Source organism: Homo sapiens, chromosome 8, assembly GCF_000001405.40.
Source record: "Homo sapiens chromosome 8, GRCh38.p14 Primary Assembly".
NCBI classification, from domain to species: Eukaryota; Metazoa; Chordata; class Mammalia; order Primates; family Hominidae; genus Homo; species Homo sapiens.
The window spans coordinates 103355277-103383026 of record NC_000008.11 but is presented as its reverse complement, the minus strand read 5'-3'; the positions used below and the strand labels follow the sequence as shown (position 1 = coordinate 103383026).

General features: G+C 40.4%; 1 protein-coding gene across 3 annotated transcripts, besides 6 other annotated features; it reads right to left on the bottom strand.

Annotated features, from left to right (window-relative positions):
* On the bottom strand, nucleotides 38-11489 carry CTHRC1 (collagen triple helix repeat containing 1). Of its 3 annotated transcripts, none has more exons than NM_138455.4 (4): nucleotides 11221-11489; nucleotides 7068-7289; nucleotides 4784-5000; nucleotides 38-569 (listed from the first exon to the last, which is right to left on the bottom strand). In NM_138455.4, the coding sequence occupies exons 1-4, from the start codon at nucleotides 11368-11370 to the stop codon at nucleotides 427-429; spliced, it is 732 nt and encodes a 243-aa protein (NP_612464.1). In that variant the 5' UTR covers nucleotides 11371-11489; the 3' UTR covers nucleotides 38-426. The 3 variants fall into 3 exon arrangements, with proteins under 3 accessions (NP_612464.1, NP_001243028.1, XP_011515126.1); NM_001256099.2 differs by lacking the exon at nucleotides 11221-11489 and adding an exon at nucleotides 10368-10520; XM_011516824.3 differs by lacking the exon at nucleotides 4784-5000.
* Nucleotides 6986-7555: an enhancer, noted in NCBI's record as "OCT4-NANOG hESC enhancer chr8:104387700-104388269 (GRCh37/hg19 assembly coordinates)". NCBI's record gives its function as "activates a minimal SCP1, AML or CMV promoter by ChIP-STARR-seq in primed H9 embryonic stem cells {active_cell/tissue: H9 hESC(primed)}" and the evidence as "EXISTENCE:reporter gene assay evidence [ECO:0000049][PMID:30033119]".
* Nucleotides 9554-9603: an enhancer, noted in NCBI's record as "active region_27790". NCBI's record gives its function as "activates an Ori minimal core promoter by ATAC-STARR-seq in GM12878 lymphoblastoid cells {active_cell/tissue: GM12878}" and the evidence as "EXISTENCE:reporter gene assay evidence [ECO:0000049][PMID:35858748]".
* Nucleotides 9614-9743: an enhancer, noted in NCBI's record as "active region_27789". NCBI's record gives its function as "activates an Ori minimal core promoter by ATAC-STARR-seq in GM12878 lymphoblastoid cells {active_cell/tissue: GM12878}" and the evidence as "EXISTENCE:reporter gene assay evidence [ECO:0000049][PMID:35858748]".
* Nucleotides 10241-11034: an enhancer, noted in NCBI's record as "H3K27ac-H3K4me1 hESC enhancer chr8:104384221-104385014 (GRCh37/hg19 assembly coordinates)". NCBI's record gives its function as "activates a minimal SCP1, AML or CMV promoter by ChIP-STARR-seq in naive H9 embryonic stem cells {active_cell/tissue: H9 hESC(naive)}" and the evidence as "EXISTENCE:reporter gene assay evidence [ECO:0000049][PMID:30033119]".
* Nucleotides 11035-11829: an enhancer, noted in NCBI's record as "H3K27ac-H3K4me1 hESC enhancer chr8:104383426-104384220 (GRCh37/hg19 assembly coordinates)". NCBI's record gives its function as "activates a minimal SCP1, AML or CMV promoter by ChIP-STARR-seq in naive H9 embryonic stem cells {active_cell/tissue: H9 hESC(naive)}" and the evidence as "EXISTENCE:reporter gene assay evidence [ECO:0000049][PMID:30033119]".
* Nucleotides 11486-11605: a silencer, noted in NCBI's record as "silent region_19458". NCBI's record gives its function as "represses an Ori minimal core promoter by ATAC-STARR-seq in GM12878 lymphoblastoid cells {active_cell/tissue: GM12878}" and the evidence as "EXISTENCE:reporter gene assay evidence [ECO:0000049][PMID:35858748]".

Below are 27750 nucleotides of genomic sequence, written 5' to 3'. Positions count from 1 at the left end.
TCCAATTTTAGTGGCAATTAATTTAAAGATATTAAGGTTGTTGGAAATAATTTTTATTTAACAGATATAAAAAAAATTCTTAACATTTACAAATTGTACAAAGATTGGTAGCTTTTATATTTTTTTAAAAATGCTATACTAAGAGAAAAAACAAAAGACCACAACAATATTCCAAATTATAGGTTGAGAGAATGTGACTATGAAGAAAGTATTCTAACCAACTAAAAAAAATATTGAAACCACTTTTGATTGAAGCAAAATGAATAATGCTAGATTTAAAAACAGTGTGAAATCACACTTTGGTCTGTAAACATATTTAGCTTTGCTTTTCATTCAGATGTATACATAAACTTATTTAAAATGTCATTTAAGTGAACCATTCCAAGGCATAATAAAAAAAGAGGTAGCAAATGAAAATTAAAGCATTTATTTTGGTAGTTCTTCAATAATGATGCGAGAAACTGAATTCCATCCAGTAGAAGCATCTCCTTTTGGGTAATCTGAACAAGTACCAACCCAGATAGCAACATCCACTAATCCAGCACCAATTCCTTCACAAAGTCCTTCCACTGCAAGACAAAGATGAAAGTTACATCTTTCTTTAGAACAAAGAGCAAAATCCTTTAGTTAAATTTTATAACTTCAGAAAGCTAGTTTGTAATTCTGTTTAATGTAATGCTACTTAAAAATTTTAATACTTGATAAGGTTTTTATAATGAAGTCCTCTTTTTCTAAATTGGTACATAAATATTTTTAAAAGATGTATACATATCCATTCTATGATATAAGTTTAACAAGCAGTGTTCTTACAGGTTTCAAGCATAAAACCAGAATTTGTATACTTACAGAGATAGCTTAAAACAAAAAAGCAATTTATTTGAATAAACAAAGAAAGGCTATATATACTTTTAAAAGCCAAGACTTTCATTTGATATGCAAGTCTTTTTTAAAAAAAGAAAGCCCTTTCCGACACTTATCTGCTGATAAGTGATGCTAGACAAGTAGACGAAATAACTTTTTTTTTTTTTTGAGATGGAATCTCGCTCTGTCACCCAGGCTGGAGTGCACTGGCGCAATCTCAGTGCACCGCAACCTCCGCTTCCCACGTTCAAGCAATTTTCCTGTCTCAGCCTCCTGAGTAGCTGGGACTACAGGCACCTGCCACCACGCCTGGCTAATTTTTTGTATTTTTAGTAGAGATGGAGTTTCATCGTGTTAGCCAGGATGGTCTCGATCTCCTGACCTCGTGATTTACCCACTTCGGCCTCCCAAAGTGCTGGGATTACAGGCATGAGCCACCGTGCCCAGCCAGAAGAAATAACTTTTATAACATTAAAAGAAATTCTACATAATCATTACACCAGTCCTTCAATCTGGGAATCCCATTTTACACAGAATTTCCTCATAGTGAAAAAACATAAAACAGAAAATCCCCCCTGCTTTTCCTCTGTGTTTTTATGCATTACAATTATGCACCTTTTCACATGTCCTCTGGACTTTCACCTACTAACAATACAAGTTGCATTCCATCTTACCAAAGTCTTCTCTTAAATTAAAAAAAAAAAATCCCTCAGTCATTTTAGCAGGCAAAAAGACATGGTACCTTTGATGTATGTGTAAAGCTGGAGAAGAAACTGTAGGTTGGCAGATTCAAGAAAATGAATCCTGGTTTTCTGTCCTTGTGATAGTTTGCTCACTCATAAGTGGGAATTGAACAATGAGAACACTTGGACACAGGGCGGGGAACATCACACCCCGGGCCTGTTGTGGGGTGGGGGGCTGGGGGAGGGATAGCATTAGGAGAAATACCTAATGTAAATGGCGAGTTAATGGGTGCAGCAAACAAACATGGCACATGTATACATAAGTAACAAACCTGCACGTTATGCACATGTACCCTAGAACTTAAAGTATAATAATAATAATACTAAAGAAAAAAAAGAAAATGAATCCTGATATAGTGGATGACTTTATGTGACTGGTTAGGCTTCCTATTTGATTGAGGTTAGTGCATTCCTGCTGAGACCCAGAGATGTAGGTCTGAAGCAATCTGCTTACATAAACTATCACAGGAGTAAATCCAGAGCAAGTCTCTCAGAATCCAGGGACCTGTCTCTGGTTCAGTCCCCTTCCCAAGTTGGGGGAACTAAATAGTAGGCCCACAATCCCATTTAATCTGGTATTCTTAGTACCATGCCAAGTGAAAATGCCTACAAATGCTCATGTTTTCCCAGGGTCTTGACAGCCATGGCCTAGAAACTTGTTCACTTCCCCCTACGGCCTAAGGACGTCAGACAAGCTTGGGTCTTGCATCAGCCTCATCTGAGGACAGTCAAATGGTCACTTCATGGTCTTTAGCAGATGAAATAATGTTGAATGAACATTTTTGCTGTGATAATGTAGTATGATAGCTTGTTAAGTAAAAACGATATGTTGGATTGGGAGTTCTCAACCTGTTTTCCTCCTAGACCATGTAACAGATGACAACCATTTGTCAAACTCCCATGGGCATATCAAGGCTTTAAGCCATCCTCTGATATGCTAACTATAAGTGCACCCCTTTCCTTTCCCTTAAGAGAGACTATCAGTATGTCAGAAAAAGTGATTCTGTTACAGAGGTAACTTTTAATCCACAATAATACAAAAACTGTTATTAATAACAAATTACTTGTGACACTCCACCCAACTGATCACACCAAATGAGTTTGCACACAATGGTTGGGAAATGCTGTGTTAAATTATTTATAAAGTATATGCGTGTATATGACACAGTTCCTGGGCCTAAGGGCTTACATTAGCAAAATATTAACACACACCTTAAAGATAACAGAATAGAATGTAAGTTGCTTATATCAACGACTGTCTGAACATATCACTTCCTAATCAAATTTTATTTTTAATATCTAGATTCTTCTTATTTTAAAGACTATTTCTTAGATGGGAAGCACTTCTTCCTTTCCAGCACATGTATCTAAGTACTTAGTGAAGAGGGTTTTTAATCTGATTACAAAGAGAACTGGGAGCCAAGAGAACAGGGCGTTGGTTTCTGCTCTCCTGAACGCTGATTCTACTGTCCCGTGTAAGACGCTGTATTTCCCTGGGTTTCTCAATATGCAAAGAGAGGGGGTTAAAATCTCTTCTTTATGTTTCAAGGATATTGTGGGGATCTGAGGGAAAATGTGGAGGGGATGCCCTTGATTGCTTAGGAATAAATTGGTTTTGGGGTTCAGTACCTGACTTGGAGCCCTAAAGAATGCTGAAATGTTATTTTGAGGGAAGGGAAGAGTGAGATTATCTCCTCCCTCCCCTCAACCATTTTTAATTATAAGATTAGTGAAAAATCTCTTCAGGAAATCAAGGAAATGATGCTAACCATATGTATAGTTTCTTATTTTTCTTCTATGAAAAGGCATATGAATATAACAGTATGTACACTTTCTGATGCTACCATGGTGTGCCATCCACTGCAACTCAAGAAACCAAAATGGCTGACAACAAAATATTGATAGTGGTGTCTCTGGAGGATGAGATTAATAGTTTTTTTTTTTTTTAACTCTTCTATTTTCTGGTATTTTCTAAACTTTCTTTAATGAATCTTAAAATAGAACAAACAGGCCAGGCATGGTGGCTCATGCCTGTAATCATGGCACTTTGGGAAGCTGAGCAGGAGGATCACTTGAGGCCAAGTGTTCAAAGTTGCAGTGAGCTGTGATCCTGCCAGTGTACTCCAGGCTGAGCAACAGAGCAAGACCCTGTCTCTAAAATAAATAAATAAATAAACAAATACATAAGTACATAAAACAACCCAATGATATTTTTCTGACAGTTTAAGTGACCACTGAATGTCTTTTCCTCATACTAGGTGGAAACAGAATACAGAAACAGTATAAAAATTTTGTCTTTTACAAATTCAGCAGACAGTATCCACCCTTTTAAAGGATAAGGCAGAAAAATCAGTCTCCTTATTAGTCTGAGCCAGTGGTTCTAAATTTTGGCTGAACATTAGAATGACCAGGAGATTTTTTTTTTTTGAGACTGCATCTCACTCTGTCATCACTCAGGATGGAGTGCAGTGGGGCAGCCTCAGCTCACTGCAACCTCTGCCTCCTGGGCTGAAGCCATCCTCCCACCTCAGCCTCCATAGTAGTTGGGACTAATTTTTTGGTATTTTTTTTGTAGAGATGGGGTTTCGCCCTCTTGCCCAGGTTTGTCTCAAACTGCTAGGCTCAAGTGATTGCCCGTCTCAGCCTCCCAAAGTGCTGGGATTACAGGTGTGAGCTACCACGCCCAGCCTACCAAGAGATACTTCGAAAGTCCCATTGCCAAGTCTGCACCCAGACCTGTTAAATCTGACTCCCTGGAAGGGTGGGATAGGCATTTCTTTTTAAAGTTCCCAGAGTTCCTACAGTGAGCCCAATATGTAGCCAAGGTTGAAAGACCACTGCTCTATGGCATTATTGGCTATTTTGCCATGTCATTTAACTCACTGATTTTCAAGCCTGGGGCACATCTGAATCACCAGGGGATCTTTTAAAAAACACAGAAGCTGTGGTCTTACTGCTAGAGATTCTGCGTTAGTTCATCAGAGATAGGGCCCAGGCATCTATGTATTTTTAAAAGATCGAGAGGTAATGCAGAAGTACAACCCAGGGTGGAGAATCATGCATTGAAAACTTGCTAGAGGTCCCTTTACAGTAGGCTAGTGAACCAACATGATAGTGGGACTCAAAACTAATCTTACTTAGATCTGAGGCACATCTTGCAATGTCACAATTTTACATACCAGAAGAAGTGCGATGAATATTAATTGTTGAATTCATTTCAGGGCTTCCTTGGTCCAAATAAATTATAGCTTCAATGGGAAGAGGTCCTGAACATTCAGCTCCATTGAATGTGAAATACCAACGCTGACAGCATGCATTTCTGCATTTTAGCCGAAGTGAGCCACTGAACAAAACTCTTAGAGCACTATTTGAACGCATCTTTGTAAATGTACACTCCTGTCACAAACATAGAAATGGGATTTAATTAACATTTTCTATTTTAATTAAAAAGAGCTTTTGAGACTGGTGAATTTTACTTAACTATCCTTTTCCCCAAAATGTATTTAAAAAGTTTAACTTGGCCGGGTGTGGTGGCTCATACCTGTAATCCCAGCATTTTGGGAGGCCGAGGGGGGCAGATTACTTGAGGCCAGGGGTTAGAGACAAGCCTGGCCAACATGGCGAAACCCATCTCTACTAAAAATACAAAAAATTTGCTGGGTGTGGTGGCGCACGCCTGTAATCCCAGTTACTCGGGAGGCTGAGACGTGAGAATCGCTTGAACCCAAGAGGTGGAGGTTGCAGTAAGCCGAAATTGTGCCACTGCACTTTAGCCTGGGCAAAAAAGTGAGACTCTGTCTCAAAAAAATTAAAATAAACAAAAATAAAGCTTAACTTTTATAGAGGGAGGGAGATTTTCTGCAAGCTAGGTAAGAGATTTTGATATAGGAACTCTAAGAAAATCAAATTGCAGCTTTCTCAGAACTTTTCGCCCCATTGAGGGTATCTTTCAGTTTTATCAAAAAAGGCTAGCCTTCAGTACTTTTGATAAAATCAATTTATATATTTCCTCTTTTTTTTGCATTCAAAAAATATTTACTGAGCCCCAACTATGTGCTAAATGGTACAGATAGAGCAGTTAACAAACCAGAATCCCTACCTTCATGGAACTTACATTCTAGACTAGTTCTGTCCATTCGTATTGACTCTTGACGTGTTTCTTTTCGAGCAACAGCAAACAGTATGAGGGAGTAAAGGATAGGCAGGGTTTTTAGTCTTTATCTATATGATGCAATGATAAGGCCCAGGTTTCTTGTTTGCTTATTTTCTCATTGGTCTATGCAAATTTGTCTGTCTATTGGCTCATGGACCTATTATCCTTTACTCATAGAAGGTTACCATACCCATCCTGACCATTGCTAAAAGGAACTTGAAAACATATTAATAATTCAGAACCCACAAGGATAGCTTTTAGAAAGAACTCAGTAACTTTTGATGAACAACTATAAATAAACAACCAGTCTATCAATGTCAGATGTTTAAATAACTAGGGAACATTTTAACAAAATGTTTTCTAGAAACACACATGAACACAGAAAAGGTCATAGTCATCATAACTATGGAAGCTACATGGAAATTCTATCACAAAACAAGACAGTCTCAAACTCTTAATAGAGCAGAAAGAGCTGAGATAAGGAACAGGGATTATACACAGAGTGCATCTTAAAATCTTGGAGTTTTATGAAACAAATTTCTTGTAATTGCTTGATGGTAGCAGTAAAATCATGAAGTAATATGTTGTGAATATGGAACCATGTACAGAGTTCATCAACAGAGAAAAGAGGCTTATAAATAGCATCAACTTCTTCAACTCTCTTCCATCCCAGTGGACTTGCCAATTACTTTTGAAGCAAACACTAATCAAAGTGACTGAAACATTAGTCAAAATACATGACCGGACAGGCTATTTTGAGTAATTCTCTGCCACTCAGCCTTAATGTTGCAGAATAACTTAAAATAATCACTGTAGTACCTCACATCTAACCCATTTCACTTCTCTTAGGCTTAGCAGTTTTAAGCTGGGCATGCTTCCTAAATAAAGACAAACACCAATGGACTTCTGCTTCCAGATCAATGTGGTAATTTCTTGGAAATTTTTTCCCACCTTTATGTCTGAAGCCAGGACAGAATTTCTTAGACTAAATTTAAATTTACTTTAGGATAAGATTGGAAAGTTGCTTACTGTCCAACACAGACACATATGCTCTCTTTTGTTTGCATTTTTAAAAAGTATGTTATTTTAGATACTATGGTTAAAATGATAAGCATTTGTCTTAGAAATATCTCTATGAAATTCTGAAATGTTATAAACTTTTTCATTAGTTTTAAATTAAAAGTCACATGCTACCTACTTCTCTTTTTTAAGTCTTTTAGTTAAAAAAAAATAAAATGTCACCTAAAAATTAACACTAAAATATGAAAACCCTTAAATCTTGCTTCAATTTTAAAATAATTCAAACTTACCGCAATTTTCCCAAGATCTATGCCATAATTCAATGAACTCCATGAACACTGCTTGTAGTTGGGTGTCCAGGACTCCTCAAAGCTTTCCCTCAGACATTCCCCCTTTTCTCCTTTGAATCCATCCCGACCTGGGATCCCAGGTGTACCCGGAATGCCATTGGCCCCAGGGCTCCCGTCTCGACCAGGCACTCCTGCTGGCCCTTGTAAGCACATTCCATTATACTATAATGAGAAAGAAAAGGCAAAGAAAACTCTCACCACTTAAGAGTCAAAGACTCAGTATGATTAGAAATGCATTTATTTTGAGCCCTTGGAGTCAAGAATCCCTTCATACCACATGCCCGTGTTCTAGATGAGTTATTACAGAGAATTCATTTTCAAATTATTTCTAAAATATTGTGATTTCCTTCATATTTTTTAGTGCACAGACTTTACACGCACACACACACACATCAGAGGAGGACAAAATTATTTGCCTGCTCCCTTCTGCTCATTATAGGCATACACAATTTTAAATAGCTGTATTCCAAGGTGGGAATAATTTGATATTCTGCTTTTTTCTTCTAACTCTGTATCTTGCAAAGGGACCTGGATTTTTACAGTTTTATGCAAACATTGCACTATTTTTGGATAGTTTATTTCTACTTTTTTTATTATGAATATTATTGTAATGAAAATATCCATACAGCCTTTTTCTTCTTTTGAATTATTTCCTTAAGATAAATTCCTAGGGACATAATTATAAAATAAAATCTTAAGAGTCAATAATTATCTTGTACTGGCAATAGCTCCAACTTGGGTATGAAAATCCCTGCTTCTCCCTGTTTTTAAGTGGGGGAAGCAGTGCTTGGATAACATTTCTGGCCTCTCATCCCACCCCTCTTCCCCAAGGAGAAGCAGTAAGTGACCCAGTTTCAAGTGACCATTAGTTCTCAATAGGGGACCATCCACAATCTGTCAAACTGTCTGTAAGGACTATGATTTTCTGTTTGTTTGGAGAAGGACATCTTGTAGCATTTAAATGCATGGATTCTAGAGCCAGTTTCTTTGGATTTTGTCCCGGCTCCACCTTACATTAGCTCTGTGAGATAGGGCAAATTACTCAACATTTTGGTGCCTGTTTCCTTATCTGTAAAATGTGGATAATAATAAAGAGTCTTACTTTATAGGGTTTGTATGAGATTTAAGTGAATAATATATAAAATGTGCTTAGAACAATGCCTGGAACACAGTAAACACTGTATGTGTCAGCCATTATTATTCCTATGTTCCCCAGGACCAGTGCAAGGCAGCAACTCTGGGTAAGTGTGTCCACTGCCCTGGGTGGACCTTTCAGGATTTAGACCTGGGGAAGAGAGCATTAGCAAACCCACCAGCCTAGCACACATAAGCCATACATGCCAATGCTGTATGATCAGTGGTAAAGGTGATATCCTGTGCCCCACCTGTCTAATTCCTGTGTCTACACCTGAATTGGTTCAGCTAGGAACAAAGGTGCCGTTTATTAGACACTCCAAAACCCAATGCAATCCATTTAAATGTTTACTCTAACATTTCCTCTATTTGTGTAAGTTGCCTAGTATTATTCTGTATAACTATATTTCCCAATGAAAACAAAAAACAAAGTTTCTTAGATATTAAAGTAACTTCAAAGCTTATCTTTTGACTACAGTATCTGGGATTGGATGATAAAATCCAATAGTTGTCTGGGAAGAATCCTATATAATTAGACTGATGCTTGCTAATCAATTTGTGTCTCCATCGCCAGTTTGAGTTTTGGTTTGATAAATGACTTTTTAAGTCTTTGACATCGCCATTTTCCTGACTGTAAGAAGAAAAAGACACTACTACTTATTTACTGTCAGAGAAATAGTTAAAAAAAAGAAAAGAAAAAGCATTTAACAATTACAAAAGTATTCAAAGACACAAAAAGTAAAGCATTTTAAAAGTGCAAAATATTTCAAAATAGTTTGGTGTGTTTTAGACTTTATTTTTATTTTAGTAATTTAATTCACTCTCACAAGCAGATATATACAATGTTTAGACATACATTTCAAATGGGAATAAGACTGCTTCTGATATTCTTTGATTTTTTTCACTATTATTCCCCTCAGGGCAAGATGCTACACAGACTAAATTTTACTTCATTATATATCAGTGGATCTCAACTGGGGACAATTTTGTCCTCCAGGGGACACTTGGCTATGTCTAGAGACATTTTTGGTTGTCACAACTTGGGAGAGGGGATTGCTACTGGCATCTAGTATGTACAAACGATGCTGCTAAACACGCGACAACGGACAGGACAAGTCCCCACAAGAATTATCTGGCCCAACATGTCCATTGTGCCATATTGGGAATTTTTATTCACCTTTTCATCTAAAAGATACATTTCAAAGACTATATAACTTTACTTGACTCGATTCCGCAGGTGTTACATCAGTCTTCTACTTTAAAATGCTAACCCAACATATGCTTAGTACTCTCAATAAATGTCTGTGGAATGAAAAAAAAAAGATGTGAAGGGAAGCGCACTTTTATACGCCCCTGTTTCTTTCACTGGCCACCAGGGGGCAGAGCTTTGTGGAAGCTTGAAAGGAACGCTTTGAAAGATCCTATACAAAGAAGTTGCTTTATAGAATCTGTTGAAACCTTAATGACTGTGGACTTCTTCTGTCAGCAAAACCAAATCCAACCTACAGGATGCACCTGAGCCTGACTGCAAAATCTTTTCCAAGTCTGGCTAGAGTTGTGGGAAACCACAGGTACTGTAAATCCTTGAAGGGGGGAAAATAGCAAGCTTCACAGGAAAAATGGGTATTTTGTGTATCATAACTACAGACTCATAAAATGCAAACTACACATGAACCATACTCATTTGGCACAGTTTTAATAATTTGGACACTTAAAATAGAACTGTTGCCTGAACACATAGTCCCCTTTTGTGGATCAAAATTACACAGCCTACCACCAAAAAGTGCTGTGTGAAATGGCGGGAATTTTTTTCCCAGCACTTTTGAATCCAATACAGAACTAGCTGCCAGGGAACTTGGTATATTAGCTCAGTTTAAAATGGCAGCTTAACAAATTCAAAACTTTCTTTTTAATTAAAAAAAAATGCCCCAACTTATGTCTTGCAATGCCTGTAAATCATGTTTGTCTGCAAGTGAGACTGAAGTTTATAATATGCCAAGGACTACGGTAGCTCTGAAAGGCTCCCTCATACCACAGGCCAGAGAACCTCTCCGCCCTCCACTGGGTTTGTTGATTTTTAGAGGGAAGGATTTTAAGCAAACATACCTTCCCACAGATGAGCCCCTGGAAAGCACTCGGGCCGTTCATTTCCAGTTTCCTGGAAACTGTTTTCTCCCGTAGCTTGACTGTGATGCTCCTACCTGGCGGCCACATATGAAGACCCAGGGTGTGTGTAATGACAGACTGCCCATTTGGTTTAAACAGAAGCAAAACAGGTCCTTAGAGGGTTAGCGCCGGGCCCCTTCATTTCCCTTTCCGGCCTTAAACCTTCTGAACCATTCCTAGCCCCAGCTGTGGTTGTCCAACAAAGTAAATTGCAGCCCATACTCCCTAGGAAGATGACCCAACGTGACTCATAGTCTTCAAGTTACAAAGAGTTGGACGGATGCTTTGTGGGGGTTGTTATTCTCTCTCGCAGGCAGACGTGGCCACCAGCCCCAACAAAGGACACGTTGCACCGCCCTGGCCCAGGCCCAGGTCCATGTGATCAGCGAGGCCAGGGTTTTTCCCAGGTCCACTTCGGACGTACCCAAGCTCCTCATCCTACTCTCACTGCCGCCCTATCCCTCCCACCCTTCCCAAGGGGTCCCCCTGGGGCCAGAAATTATTGGGGGACTCCCTGTACTTCGGGGAGACCCACCGGGCCCATATCGCATGTCCGCTCCACGATGGCCTCCCATTTTGGTCTCCCCTCTGAGTTCCAAGACTCACTGCACGCATAACCAGGTCCTTCTTCACCTGTAAATAAAAAGCATGACACCCCGGCGCAGCAAGACACACGACACACAGCTGTACAGACAGACACCCCCAACAGCCAGACTGACGCCCTGCCCGTGGGGCGCGCGGCCAGGTCCCCTCCACCAGCGCGGCGGTCCCGGCTCGGCTCCCTCGGACTCACCAGGTCCACCACCTCCCTCTGCCGGAGCTGCGCCTTTTGCTTCCCCTTGGGGATCTCAGAGGCGCTCGACGGCGCGGGCAGCTGCAGCAGCAGGAGCAGCAGGAGGCCGCGGAGCCGCTGCGGGGAGGCGGCGGGGCCCTGGGGTCGCATGGCTCCCGGCTGCCGGGCAGCGCGGAGCTGGAGGCGGAGGAGACCGAGGAGAGGAACGTGGTCAGCGTCTGGCTCCGCCGCGCTCCGAGGCCGCCGCAGGCTGCATCAATGCGCCTTTCACCCGCGCGCCTCTCTCCCTCCCTTAATTCCTCCCGCCCCCGCGACACCCGGAGCTTCCATCCCGTAATAGGCCCCGAGCCCCCACCCCGAGCCCGGCGTGGGGGCGGACCGAGAGCCGGGCCCGCCCCCTCCTACTGCAGTCGCTCGGCCTGTCAGGACCCCCGCGGGGCTGCGCAGACCCTCGTGGAGAGCCCGCCTGCAGGGTCTGGGCGGGGTGGCCCGTGGTCAGGAGCCGCAGGTCGGGGATTCCCGCAGGTAACACAGCGCCGCCTAAATGAACATTTTAGAGACACGTGGCTTAACCTGGGTACACGAGCCACCTTCAAGGGTCGTCAATCTATGGCATGGGTCGGCGAGTCTTATTTGTTTTTTGTTTGTTTGTTTGTTTTTGAGACAGAGTCTCGCTCTGTCGCCCAGGCTGGAGTGCAGTGGCGCCATCTAGGCTCACTGCAAGCTCCGCCTCCCGGGTTCACGCCATTCTCCTGCCTCAGCCTCCAGAGCAGCTGGGACTGCAGGCACCCGCCACCACGCCCGGCTAATTTTTTTTTTTTTTTTTTTTTTTTTTTTTTTGAGACGGAGTCTCGCTCTGTCGCCCAGGCTGGAGTGCAGTGGCGCGATCTCGGCTCACTGCAAGCTCCGCTTCCCGGGTTCACGCCATTCTCCTGCCTCAGCCTCCCGAGTAGCTGGGACTACAGGCGCCCGCCATCACGCCCGGCTAATTTTTTGTATTTTTAGTAGAGACGGGGTTTCACCGTGTTAGCCAGGATGGTCTCGATCTCCTGACCTCGTGATCCACCCGCCTCGGCCTCCCAAAGTGCTGGGATTACAGGCGTGAGCCACCGCGCCCGGCCCCGGCTAATTTTTTATATTTTTAGTAGAGACGGGGTTTCACCGTGTTAGCCAGGATAGTCTAGATCTCCTGACCTTGTGATCCGCCCGCCTCGGCCTCCCAAAGTGCTGGGATTACAGGCGTGAGCCACCGCGCCCTGCCTTATTTGTTTTTTGGAGGTGACATTTTTGGAGGCTGGAAGGTGGGGGTGGGGCGGAGGCAGGAAGAAACCATAGGTATCATCAGGTTTTCCAAGAGTCCCATGACCCAAATGATATATAAACGCTGTTTTCATAAGTGCTAACACTTACTAAGCTCTGGCACATTGCAAAACCTTGCACGCGTACTCTGTCCTCTCAGCAATCCTGGCGGGTTGGGAGGGGTAGATGCCTCCTGGGCTACTCTCATAAACGAATGAGGAAACTGAGGCTCAGGGAAGTTAATCAATATCCAGTGGAAATGGTAGAAGTTCACTTTTGAGTACTCTTTGCCTCTGATGGATATTATCTTTTTGTAACCCCCTCTGTCCTCCTTTGGCCTGTCCATTGTAGAAGAAAACATTCTCAGGGCCCAGGCTACCCACCACGTAGGGCCAGGTTGGAGCAGGAGATCTTTTATATATAACTGGCTGGAATCAGGCATAACAGAAGTCTTGCCACACCCATAACAACACGAGGTTGTGACGGATGGTAATACTGTGAAGTCAAATTCAGCTCAGCAGGGGTCTCCCTATAGACCCATGCAGGTTTTCCGGAGTTGGTGAGTCCAGCTGATGGATGTTAAAGAGAGGGAGCAGTCTAGCAGGGAAGCAGGTCGCGGCAGTTCTGCAAATGCCCAGTCCTGGGCTGGTAACTAACTAAAGGTAAATTTCACTTGTTTTTCTAGAAGCAGCAAAAATCCAAATGAACTGTAAAGCCAGGGCTGGTTATATAATTTGCCCCACCCAGTGCAAAATGAAAATGCAGGAGCTTTTGTTAAAAAATTATTCAGAATTGCAAAATGGTGTCAATGGAGCATTAAATCACGTGTGGGGTCCTTCTAAGTGCCTGGCCCTGTGTGACAGCACAGGTCATATGCCCATGAAACTGGCCCTGTATGGGGTTGCAATCCTAGTCTCTGATAAAACAGACTTTAAACCAACAAAGATCAGAAAAGACAAAGAAGGACATTATATAATGGTAAAGGGATCACTGCAACAAGAAGAGCTAACTATCCTAAATATATATATGCACCCAATACAGGAGCACCCAGGTTCATAAAGTAAGTTCTTAGAGACCTACGAAGAGACTTAGACTCCCACACAATAATAGCGGGAGACGTTAACACCCCACTGTCAATATTAGACAGATCAACGAGACAGAAAATTAACAAGGATATTCAGGACTTGAACTCAGCTCTGGACCGAGCAGATCTAATAGACATCTACAGAACTCTCCACCCCAAATCAACAGAATATACATTCTTTTCAGCACCACATCACACTTATTCTAAAATTGACCACATAATTGGAAGTAAAAACATTCCTCAGCAAATGCAAAAGAATGAAAATCATAACAAACAGTCTCTCAGACCACAGTACAATCAAATTAGAACTCAGGATTAAGAAACTCACTCAAAACCACATAACTACATGGAAACTGAGCCACCTGCTCCTGAATAACTACTGGGTAAATAACGAAATTAAGGCAGAAATAAATAAGTTCTTTGAAACCAATGAGAACAAATATGCAACATACCAGAATCTCTGGGACACAGCTAAAGCAGCGTTTAGAGGGAAATTTGTAGCACTAAATGCTCACAGGAGAAAATGAGAAAGATCTAAAATTGACACCCTAACATTGCAATTAAAAGAACCAGAGAAGCAAGAGCAAACAAATTCAAAAGCTAGCAGAAGACAAGATATAACTAAGATTAGAGCAGAACTGAAGGAGATAGAGAAATGAAAAACCCTTCAAAAAATCAATGAACCCAAGAGCTGGTTTTTTGAAAAGATAAAAAGATAGACCACTAGTCAGACTAATAAAGAAGAAAAGACAGAAGAATCGAATAGATACAATAAAAAAATGATAAAGGGGATATCGCCGCTGATCCCACAGAATTATAAACTACCATCAGAGAATACTATAAACACCTCTACACAAATAAACTAGAAAATCTAGAAGAAATAGATAAATTCCTTGACACATACACCCTCCCAAGACTAAACCAGGAAGAAGTCGAATCCCTGAATAGACAAATAACAAGTTCTGAAATTGAGGCAGTCATTAATAGCCTATCAACAAAAACAAGCCCAGGACCAGATGGATTCACACCCAAATTCTACCAGAGGTACAAAGAGGAGCTGCTACCATTCCTTCTGAAACTACTCCAAACAATAGAAAAAGAGGGACTCCTCCCCAACTCATTTGATGAGGCCAGCATCATCCTGAAAACAAAAAAAAAAGAAAAGAAAATTTCAAGCCGATAGCTCTGATGAACATCAGTGCGAAAATCCTCAATAAAATACTGGCAAACTGAATCCAGCAGCACATCAAAAAGCTTCTCCACCACGATCAACTTGGCTTCATCCCTGGGATGTAAGGCTGGTTCAACATATGCAAATCAATCAACATAATCCATCACATAAACAGAACCAAAAGCAAAAACCACATGATTATCTCAATAGATGCAGAAAAGGCCTTTGACAAAATTCAACAGTCCTTAATGCTAAAAATCTCAATAAACTGGTATTGATGGAACTTATCTCAAAATAATAAGAGCTATTTATGACAAACCCACAGCCAATATCATATTAAATGGAAAAAAAACCTGGAAGCATTCTCTTTGACAACCGGCACAAGACAAGGATGCCCTCTCTCACCACTCCTATTCAACATAGTATTGGAAGTTCTGGCCAGGGCAGTCAGGCAAGAGAAAGAAATAAAGTGTATTCAAATAGGAAGAGAGGAAGTCAAATTGTCTCTATTTGCAGATGACATGATTGTATATTTAGAAAACCCCATCGTCTCAGTCAAAAATTTCCTTAAGCTAATAAGCAACTTCAACAAAGTCTCAGGATACAAAATCAATGTGCAAAACTCACAAGCATTTCTATACACCAGTAACAGACAAACAGAGAGCCAAGTCATGAGTGAACTCCCATTCACAACTGCTACTAAGAGAATAAAATACCTAGGAATCCAACTTAGAAGGGATGTGAAGGACCTCTTCAAGGAGAACTATAAATCACTGTTCAAGGAAATAAGAGAGGACACAAACAAATGGAAAAACATTCCATGCTCATGGATAGAAAGAATCAATATTGTGAAAATGGCCATACTGCTCAAAGTAATTTGTAGATTCAATGCTATTTCTATCAAGCTACCATTGACTTTCTTCACGGAATTAGAAAAAAACTACTTTAAACTTCATATGGAACCAAAAAGGAGCCCATATATAGCCAAGACAGTCCTGGGCAAAAAGAACAAAGCTGGAGGCATCACGTTACCTGACTTCAAACTATACTACAAGGCTACAGTAACCAAAACAGCATGGTACTGGTACCAAAACAGAGATATAGACCAATGGAATGGAACAGAGTCCTCAGAAATAACACCACACATCTACAACCATCTCATCTTTGACAAACCTGACACTAACAAGCAATGGGGAAAGGATTGCCTATTTAATAAATGGTGTTGGGAAAACTGGCTAGCCATATGCAGAAAACTGAAACTGGACCCCTTCCTTACACCTTATACAAAACTCAACTCAAGGTGGATTAAAGAATTAAACATTAAACCTAAAACCATAAAAATCCTAGAAGAAAACCTAGGCAATACCATTCAGGTCATAGGCATGGGCAATGACTTCATGACTAAAACACCAAAAGCAATGGGAACAAAAGCCAAAATTGACAAATGAGATCTAATTAAATGAAAGAGCTTCTGCACAGCAAAAGAAACTATCATCAGAGTGAACAGGCAACCTAGGGAATGGGAGAAAATTTTTGCAATCTATCCATCTGACAAAGGGCTAATATCCAGAATCTATAAGGCACTCAGACAAATTTACAAGAAAAAAACAAATGACCCCATCAAAAAATGGGCAAAGGATATAAACAGACACTTATCGAAAGAAGACATTTATGCGGCCAACAATCATATGGAAAAAAGCTCATCATCACTGGTCATTAGGGAAATGCAAATCAAAACCACAATGAGATACCATCTCACGCCAGTTAGAATGGCGATCATTAAAAAGTCAGGAAACAACCGATGCTGGAGAGGATGTGGAGAAATAGGAACACTTTTACATTGTTAGTGGGAGCGTAAATTACTTCAACCATTGTGGAAGACAGTGTGGCGATTCCTCAAGGATCTAGAACTAGAAATACCATTTGACCCAGCAATCCCATTACTGGGTATATACCCAAAGGATTATAAATCATTCTGCTGTAAAGACACATGCACATGTATGTTTATTGCAGCACTATTCACAGTAGCAAAGACTTGGAACCAACCCAAACGCCCATCAATGATAGACTGGATAAAGAAAATGTGGCATATATACACCACGGAATACTATGCAGCCATATAAAAGGAAAAGTTTATGTCCTTTGCAGGGACATGGATGAAGCTGGAAACCATCATTCTCAGCAAACTAACACAGGAACAGAAAACTATATACCGCATGTTCTCACTCATAAGTGGGAGTTGAACAATGAGAATACATGGACACAGGGAGGGGAACATCACACACGGGGGCTTGTCAGGGTTGGGGGCTAGGGGAGGGATAGCATTAGGAGAAATACCTAATGTAGGTGACAGGTTGATGGGTGCAGCAAACCACAATGGCATGTGTATACCTATGTAACAAACCTGCACGTTCTGCACATGTATCCCAGAACTTAAAAGTACTAAAAAAAAAAGAAAAGAAAAGAAAAGAAAAGAAACTGGCCCTGTATAAAACTGAACAAAGTCCCAGCTGTTGCCTTTTAGCAGCCAAACCACTATAATGGCAGCAGTCTCTGGAAAGGAGAGCAGGGAACCACCAAAGAGTCTGTCTTTTAGCCAATTCCAATTCCAGTGCCTGCTGTTGCTGTTACTGCAACTATCACCCACTGACATCAGATGGTCGCTCTGTGTAAATGTAGGGTCCAGATTGGGTTTCAGCAAAACACTAGCCCTGCATTAACATCCAGGCATTTTTAAACTATACATTCTCAGAATTAACCAAATTACAATGTAAAGTAAGCCAGATACCATGAATTTAAAGATAATATGTAGTAATGTATAAATGCTTTACAACATTAAGAGGATTTTCACATATCCTGTCTCCGAGGTCCTAAAATTAGCACAAAAGTATACCACTATAGGTTTATTAACTACACTGTCTCTATGCTTACTTTTATACTTCTACGGGTTTGCAAAGGCATTTATCTTTCCATCCCTGGAATTTACTCTCTCAGTCCAGCTGAGTTTTCTTGGTCTAAAACTTGAGCTCATTCTACCATTATAGATTTTAGTTCTGTTTAGAGATTATGGGTTATTTTTGTATCCTGAAGGCTATTTCCAGAGTGACCCTTTCTGAACCACAAAATAACAAACAGCCTTTTGTAGATTCTAATTTTAAAGCCTAATTTTAGTAATAACTCTTTTAACTATTATGATGACATGTTTTAGTTAAATATTAACATTCTAATGTTATTGAAACATTTGAGACATTTAAGAAAATGTAACACATTAGATTTCTGATATTAATTTGAAATGAATAACAAAATTTAGTCAAGTTTGTAAAGGTTTTAAATGTTTGATAAAACTTAACTACTATATTTATAAGCTTGATTATTAGAGTTAAAAGAAGAGCTTGGGTGTTTTAAATTATTCTTCTTACTAGATTTTTTAAAAATTATTTTTCATTTTTTGAGGCAGGGTCTCACTATGTTGTCCAGGCTGGTCTAGAATTCCTGGTCAACAATCCTCCCACCTTACCCTCCAGAGTAGCTGGACTAACTACAGCACCATCGTGCCAGGCTTTCTCATTACATTTTAAAGTTTGCCCTGATGGGCATTTGGCATTTGAGAAAATTAGATATATTAAATTTGTAAGTGCCGTTTAAAATGTGTAAAATAATTTAACTCAGTTTTTAAATATAGCTAAATTTTAGGTAAATTGAATCTTTTAAATAAATGAGTAAGTTGAAGCTGAATCTTCCATGTTGAGCTTAAAAACTTAAGAAAAACTTGGTTTTTAAATTTAAATACTTAAGTAGTTAATAATTAGAAGTAGCTTCAAGTAGTATTTTTCATGCGCATATAATGCCCATTCCTAACCAAAAAAAAAATCTCTATTGAAAGGAATTGGAAAGGGAAATGAATGGGTTAATTAAGACTGTTGGGTATAGTTTATCATTACTTAGTTCATGTGATGCAAGTTCTAATTCTTTGGTAGAGTAGAATCATAGGTTTTGAGAGTTCACAAGAGTTTTAGAGATAATCTAATTCAACCCATTTATTTTACAATTGATGCACAAAATTAAAGGCAACTCAGAGAGCTCAAAGAACTTTCCAAAGGTCAAAGCGTCAAAGCAGGGTTATACTAAGGTTGGAGAACCTCATGTACAGTATTTAATAATATTCCTTTTGAATATTGTAGTCTTCCACAGTGTGACTACTGGAGATTGAGGAAAGAATTGTGTTGAAAGGCTTAAAGGCAAAGAAGACCAGACATGGTGGCCTATGCCTGTAATCCCAGCACTTTGGGAGGCTGAGGTAGGAGGATCATTTGAGGTCAGGAGTTCGAGACCGGCCTGGGCAACATAGTGAACTCCCCATCTCTACAAAAAATAAAAAGATTAGCTGGTCATGGTATTGTGTGCCGATACGCCCAGCTACTTGGGAGACTGAGGCAGGAGGATTGCTTGAATCTAGGAGTTGGAGGCTGCAGTGAGCTATGATCACACCACTGCCCTCCAGCCTGGGTGACAGAATGAGACCCTGTCTCTAAAAAACAAAAACAAGAAACAAAGGCAAAAAAGTGCCTTTGAACTCAGCTGTCATAAGGACAAAAGGGGATTAAAGTGAAAGGGCCCCAAGGGAATGGTAAAACCAGAGTTAGCAGCAAGCTGCACTCTGGAGAATGTGGGTGGGGATTAGCCGAAGAAGCTGTTCCCTTAAGAAGCTCCATGTAGTTTTGATCCATATGCCCTGGTTTTGCTTTCTAAAACTATGGATAGCAAGTCCATTCACTTGTGCCCTTAATAGTCTTTCTTCTGTTTGAAAGCAGCACACCATCAAGGGGGGCAGTTGTGAAATTTGAAGTCAGTAGATCCAAGTTTTGAACCTTGAATCCATCACTACTGCTGGATTCATTCATTCATTCATTGAACAAATGTTTATCAAAGTCCCACTATATTCTCAGCCCTGTTCAAGACTACAGGGATTTATCAATAAATAATAATAATAAACATCCCAGCCCTCAAAGGGCTTACAAGTTAGTTTGTCATGACAGGCAGTAAACAATAGATATAGTAAATGCATTATGTAAGTATGTTCGGTGATAAATTCTATGGAATACAATAGAAGATGGAAGAGGAACTAAAAGTTTAGTGGCAGTATAGAGGAAGCCAATTGTAATTTTGCATAGAGTGGTCAGGCTTAGTCTCATAAGTAGGTGGCATTGAGCAAAGGCTTGAAGGTAGAGAAGTAAGTAAGCTGTGCAGGTATCTATGAGAAGACCATTCCAGGCAGTGGGTATTCCAATGCAAAGCCCCTGAGGCAAGAGAATGCCCAGGTCTTTCCATCATTCTGTTCTGTCATCTTCAATGGGTCAGTTTTACCCTCTGGCTTTCTCCACTCCTGATAATCAGATAGTCTCAGACACCACATTCAGGCACAGAAATATCCAGAAAAGATGAGCTACAGTTTCCTCTCTGTGTCATTGTTAAAGGCAAGGAATCTCCTCCAAAGTCGTTACAGAACTTGGTCATGTCTTCCGCCAGGACTGGACCACACGTCAGTTTCCTAACCAATCATTATCCAGGGGAATGAGTGTAGTTTGACTTAGTTCAATCATTTGAAGTGGAATAGATGCTGGAAATTTTGCTATCATAGGTTATTTTCAACTTATAAAAAACACTGCATTGAATATCATTCTACAAAATCATTTAGCACACATATCATTATATCCTATGGATAGAATACTAGGAGTGAAATTACTAAATCAAAGAGGATGAGCTTTTCAAAGACTGTTGATATGCAGTATAAAATTACATTTTATAAAAATTACACCAGTTGATACACCCATTGCAGTGATGAGGGCACACATCTCTTATACCCTCAACTTTAAATATTACTGTATTTGAAATGTTTGCCACTTTAAAATTGACCATATTTATTGATCATTTCCAAGTTTATTGGCTATTTCCAAGTCTTCCAACATTTCTCTTCAAGTCCTTCACTTTTTTTTCTATTGGGCTATTAATGCATTTTTATTGGACATAAAAATTCTTTAAATATTGATGTACTTAAAACACTTAATCTTTCCTCATAGGGATGTAATATGCCTCCCCATTTTTCTAAATTCCCTTTTATTGATCAGTGAAGATTTATAATTTTTAAAATTTAGCTTCTTATGCCTTTCTTTCTTTCTTTTTTTTTTTTTTTTTTTTTGAGGCAAAGTCTTACTCTGTTGCCCAGGCTGGAATGCAGTGGCATGATCATGGCTCACTGCAACCTCTGCCTCCCGAGCTCAGGCAGTCCTCCCACCTCAGCCTCCTGAATAGGTGGTACTACAGGCAGACAGTACCATGCTTGGCTTGTATTTTTTTGTAGAGGTGTGGTCTCATTGTGTTGCACAGGCTGGTCTCAAACTCCTGAGCTAAAGTGATCTGCCCACCTCGGCCTCCTAAAGTGCTGAGATTACAGGTATGAGCCACTGTGCCCTTTTCTTATTGTGGCTATTATATATTTTGCTGCTATTGCAATAGGAATTCCCACCCTCCTATATATTATATTACATTTCTATTACATGTAACAAGTTGCCTCAAATGTAATGGCTTAACATAACACAAATTTACTATCTCACCATTTTTGTGAGTCAGGAGTTCAGCATGGCTAGCTAAGTCCCCTGCTCAGTATTATCCTAGGCTGAAGTCAAGGTGTCCACCAGGTGCATCCTCATCTGGAAGCTCGGCTGGGGGAAGAAAAAAAAAATATCCCCTCCAAGCTTCTTTAGGATGTTGGAAGGATTTATTTCCTTATGGCTGTATGACTGATGTTCCCATTTTCTTGCTCTCTGTGGGTTAGGGATCATTCTCAGGTACCAGAAATTGGTCTCAGATTCCTGCCATGTGGCCCTCTTTAAAGGAGCTCTACCTCATGTCTTAAATCTCTGACTTCAGGAAGGATGTAGTCCCTTTTAAGGGCTCACACAATTAAGTCAGTCCCATCAAGGATAATATCCCTTTTAAGTTAAAGTCAACTGATTGGGGACCTTAATTATACCTGTAAAATCTTTCTGCTGTATAATATAATATAATCATGACAGTGACATATATCATAGTCACAGGTTCACTCACACCCAAGGGAGGGGATTATACAGGACTTGTCTACAAGAAGGCAGGAATTTTGGGGGTCATCTTAGAACTCTGCCTACTGTATGAGGTGATTAGCTATGGTTAGAAGTTTTTGATTTTCATCACTTGTCTCCTTAAAGCACAAAATTGTATCAGGCTTGCTCAAGAAGATCAAGATGGTTAATAAAAACGTTCTAATTACACTAGTGGCCGTAGGTGGCCACTGAAGTTTTTATATTTCCTTTGCAGGAAAGCAAATACAAGCAATTCTCAACTTTTAAAATGTTAGGTGGTCACATATTTTTCAGTCATCCTTGTACCAAGTGTATCTTTCATGTATCGGCTAATGATAAACATTTCAAAGTATCATGTGATTACTGCCTGCCAGTCAAAAGTTTAGTTCCAACACCATGTCTATCCTTGTATAACAGTATTTGTGCAATTGTTCCACTATTTTGTATGTTCCTATTTTATAAAAAGAAAACAATTAAAACGTGGTGATATTAGTTATAAGAGCTCATAAACTTTTTATAGCTGAAATAGAGATATAAATGGGCTGCAAGTGCCAATTTTTTAGCATCAATGGGACAGTCACTGGAATGAAGATAACAAGAACCTGTTTAGTCAGAGTAACATAAACCATGCTAGATATTTCAACCACAGTAGATGCAGGAAATTGATTACCCAGCTGTTGGAAAACCAGGATGCTGAGGTAAGCCAGATAGGTACTGATGGAAGCGGCTACCAGTTGCAGGGCTGGAAAAACAAAAGAGAGGAAGTGTCTGTGAGGAGGTCCTAGAAGCTTGAACTTAGAAGAAGTTCCACCCATACTCCGGCTCAGTTCTTAGACTTCTCCCTGGAGCACCAAGTGCACGGGGATTGAACCATCAACGGGGGCAAATCACAGCTGGCACTGGAAGTGGTGAGAGAAGCTGGACTAGGCTTTGCTGTCAGTGTGGAGCTAGCAGGAATCTGTAACAAGAAATGAGTTACTTTTTCTCTCCTTGTGCCTTGCTATGTCTTTCTAGTGCCTCCAGTTGTCCAATCATTACACCGTAACAGGAAGCCAGCTGGTAAGAACATCTGGGAGATGTAGTTTTTAGCCTCCAGACCTAGCATTTCAGAGCAGGGTATAGAGGGAGGGCTTAGAGTTGAAAACAATAGAAAATAACCCAGGGCATGACAATATAAAAACTAAAGAACATGTGCAAAATGAGGAAAATATGTTTCAAACATTGTTTACCAAGAGTGGGAAATATCTAGGGAATTCATTATATTTCTGTGGTCCAGAAGGGATGTGAACTCTCCTCTGTTGAACAGCCTTTGCCTTTGTGTTTTTAAAACCACTTTGATTTCTTCTGGTGACAGAATTCTTCTTTAGAGTAAGGAACCCATTCTCATTCTCTGTAGGTCAAGTAGGACTTTGACCCACCACCACTGAGATGGGGTGTGTTATCCAGGCCCCAGCAATTGCAGGGCCCCATTCACTTAGCCACAGTAATTGGTTCAGAGATGAGCAGATGATCTTAACCAGACTAATCAGGGCTTTCCCTAGGATTTTTTATTTTTAAAGCCATTTGCAGCAAATGCTGGCTCTTTCTGCTGGCCTTCCTAAGCTGGCAGAGTATGAGTTTGGGCTGCCAGTTGCTGTTTTGTCTGCCACTGGAGAGAGCTCTTCCAAGAGATAGAGAGAAAGAAAGACATAAAGACCCAAAACATTGTTTGGACCCTGCCTTGAAGTGAGCTGGTACTTTTCAGTAATATGATTCCGTAAGTTCTTTTATTTCCTGTAACACAAGTGTTTTAATTGTAAGATACTTGACTTTTATCCACTTTTTTTATTTTTTGAGACAAGGTCTTTCTCTGTTGCCCAAGCTGGAGTGCAGTGTATGATCATAGCTTACTGCAGCCTCAATCTCCTGGGCTCTAGCAATCCTATCCCACCTCAGCCTCCCAAGTAGCTAGGATGACAGGTACACACCACCACACCTGGCTAATTTTTATTTTTTGTTTTTATAGAGACAAGGTCTGGCTATGTTGACCAGGCTGGTCTCAAACTCCTGGCCTTAAGTGATTCTCCTGCCTTGGCCTCCCAACAGGTGTGAGCCACCGTACCCAGCCTAGCTACATTTTTTATAAGTACAATATGTTCAAAGGCAACATAATACAGTGATTAAAAGTGAGAACACTGGACCTTGGTTATACAAACGATGGTTGAATTCTGACTCAGCTACTTAATGAGCATGATCTTGGACAAGTTACCTAAAATCTAATTGAATTTCAAATTCCTCAAATGAGGATAGTGTTAGTACCTTCTTCATACAATTATTATGTGAAGACCAACTGGGAGGCCAGGCACGGTGGCTCACGCCTGTAATCCCAGCACTTTGGGAGGCCGAGGTGGGTGGATCATGAGGTCAGGAGTTCAAGACCAGCCTGGCCAACAAGGCAAAACCCTGTCTCTACTAAAAATACAAAAATTAGCCAGGTGTGGTGACATGCACCTGTAATCCCAGCTACTCAGGAGGCTGAGGCAGGATAATTGCTTGAACCCGGGAGGTGGAGGTTGCAGTGAGCCGAGATCACACTACCACACTCCAGCCTGGGCGACAGAGCAAGACTCCATCTCAAAACAAAAAAAAAAAACAAAACAAAAAAAGTGCTCAAGACATATTAGCTATTGTTACTTTAGTTAGATAATTAGGGGATTCCATCTAGATTAAAGGAAGTCATGATTCAGTGGAAAACACCTAACTATACATCAGTTTTATCATTCAGTGTCCATCTGGGAAACAAACAACTCTGATTATTTTAGAAGAGTTAATTTAATGTGAGAAATGGATCATCCACACAGACTACAAGCTAAACAGAGCGCAGTTAGGCACCTCCATCCCAAATTGGCAGTAGCTTGTAAACTGCTACCACCCCTAAGATGGAGAGACTTAAGGTGTCCAGTCAAAGTTGGAATCATGTTGGGCTTGTGAAAAAGATGAAGCCACTGCCAGAAAAGCCACCTGTGGCAGAGAAGGCAGATGAGGAATATTTTGGCTTCTCTCTTATTTCTATCATCCAATCTTTGATTGGCTATGCCCAACTGAAGGCCTATGAAACAGGAGCCTTGGAAATAGCCTGCAGAGGTTGGAGCAGAGCCAGGGAAGCTCAAAGAATGGATCTGAAGGCAAACAGCACCAATACGTCCCAGAAGGAGGTTACTGAATTTCTCCCTTCACTGGCTCATGTTCACATGCACACAAATAGCCATAAAATCCAACAGTGTGGCATCTTCACCCACATTCCTAAACACCTAGATTACAAGGCTGTTTGGATTGGTATTAAATGGTCAACCTACCCACACTCTGTACTGATAGACATTAAATATACACCATCCTTACCAGTTTATGAGTGATTGGAATTTTTGTTGTTCTAAGAGAATACAAGTTGTTGGAAAATCATAGACCCTAAGTTACTGGTGCAAGATAACTGAAAGTCCCTGGCCTGCCATTATGATAAGTACATTCTACATGCATCCTTTGTTATTTCTGCATATTTATACAACTGGAAGCTAACACTCTCTGCAGTGCCTGGGGGGAAGTGCTGATTTCTTAGACCTGGAAGAATTCTATTTCATTTATTCTGAATCATAGCATACTATATGCTTTCAACGTGGGTAGTCTTTCATTTCCGGTCAAATTTTCTCCCTTTTTATTAAGTTACACAAAGCCATGCACTTTCTTCCCCTCTTCATTATGCTCTGTGTACAGAGGTTTTTTTAATCAGCATCCTCTGAACAGACTCTGCTTTGTAAGAATTCCTCAGAAAATTGTTCACTGTGCAGATCTGTGTTTGAAAATGGCCACGATTAAAGACATTTCTCAGCAGTTCAGATGACTCTTTGCAGCCTGTGTGTCTCTTTCAAAGTACAAAGAACCACCTGTTTTTGATAAAAGGAAGCCAAAGTAAGCAGGAGTTTTGAAACGGCATCTCAAAACACTTAGGTTTAAAAAATATGTCCAGTTCTCCAGTCTCCCTCCACAAATCTCCATCTCCATCAGCTGCACTATGATTTCTCGTTTTTCTTCTCCAGCTCCTCTGTTAGAGATGCGATTGCATTGTTGGTATAAAGTCATGTTATTGTAGTGGAAATTCAAATAAGCCAATAATTTTAATCTCCTCCCTCACATCACAGGGATTTTAGTAAATGGCAAAGCAAGCTGAATATAGTTTTACCTTTCCCTAAACTAGCCGATAGATAATGCTAAAAAGTGAAAAAATGCAATTGATGGGTGACAGGAGATAGAAAGATTAAGAGGTTTGGATACCGATATGGTTTGGATTTGTGCCCCCACCCAAACCTCATGTTGAATTGTAACCCCGAATTCTGGAGGAGGGTCCTGGTGGGAGGTGATTGGATCATGGGGTCTGATTGTCCTGTTGCTGTTCTGGTGATAGTGAGTGAGTTCTCAAGAGATCTGGTTGTTTAATACAAGTGTGTAGCTTTTCCTCCTTTACTCTCTTCCTCCTGCTCCGGCCATGTAGGACATGCCTGCTTCCCCTTCCGCCATGATTGGAAGTTTCCTCAGGCCTCCCCAGCCATACATACTTCCTGTACAGTCTGTGGAACCGTGAGCCAATTAAGCCTTTTTTTCTTTATAAATTACCCAGTTTCAGGTATTTATAGCAGTGTGAGAATGGACTAATACACATACGAAACAAGAAATTGGTAACTATTCAAAGAACAAAACAAGAGATAATGGAATAATTCATTGTCAATATGGCAAAGAGATTACTGGTTGTGAAGACTTGCTAACCACTGTGTAGAAAATTAAAATTAAGTCTAGGCAAACTCCCTTCCCATGTTCTTTACTGTGATTTGAAAATAATCCATTGGCAATATTATCAGATGCTATGGTAGTATTATCAGAGTTATCAGAAACATCCTCCTGTCACCTTTTCCTTCTAACTCTTGGCTAGTTAATGATTCCTACTTTTTTTTTTTTTTTTTTTTTTTTGAGATAGGGTCTCACTCTGTTGCCCAGGCCGGAGTGCAGAGGTGCAATAACGACTCACTGCAACCTTCTCCATCTGGGCTCAAGCAATCCTCCCACCTCAGCCACCCAAGTACCTGGAACCACAGGCACATACCACCATGCTGGTTAAATTCTGTAATTTTTTTTTTGGTAGAGATGGGATTTCACCATGTTGCCTAGGCTGGTCTTGAGCTCCTGGGCTCAAGTGATCTGCCCGCCTCAGTCTCCCAAAGTGCTGAGATTACAGGCAAGAGCCATGGCAACTGGCCAATGATTCCTATTTTTGTGGACACTGTTGATCCCTTAATTTATGGACTGTATAGAAAAGCATGCTTCAAAATTTATAGATGACCCAAAGCTAGAAGAGATAGCAATATAATGCTCTAGCTGCATGCTCCAAAGCAAGAAAAATATCAGCTGAATAGATGAGGGTATAATGGGGAGGGGGAAGCATGCAGATATTGAATTACTCACTAGCTAAGTGAAAACCAATGAATTCTTATACAGAAGAAAATCACTGGAAATTGAAAAATGAGAGATAATAAAAATTCTCATGTATCCATTAAACAGATATACACATCTACTAATCCCAGCTATATACAAATTTTCTTTTGGGGTTTAAATGCACCAGGTTAGATGCTACCACCAGTTGTATGTGACTGTCATGCTAGGGGTAAGACGGGATGACGTGGGGCTCTACCCCTTCATGGTTTCATGGTAAAATTTCTTCATCAGATAACTGGAGTGCTTGGCATGGGCCTTAATTGTTAAGGTGATTGCTCCCTTGGGTATCACAGGAAATTTGCACCCTTGCCTTACTCCTTTCTACCTTTTCTTTCAGGTAGAAT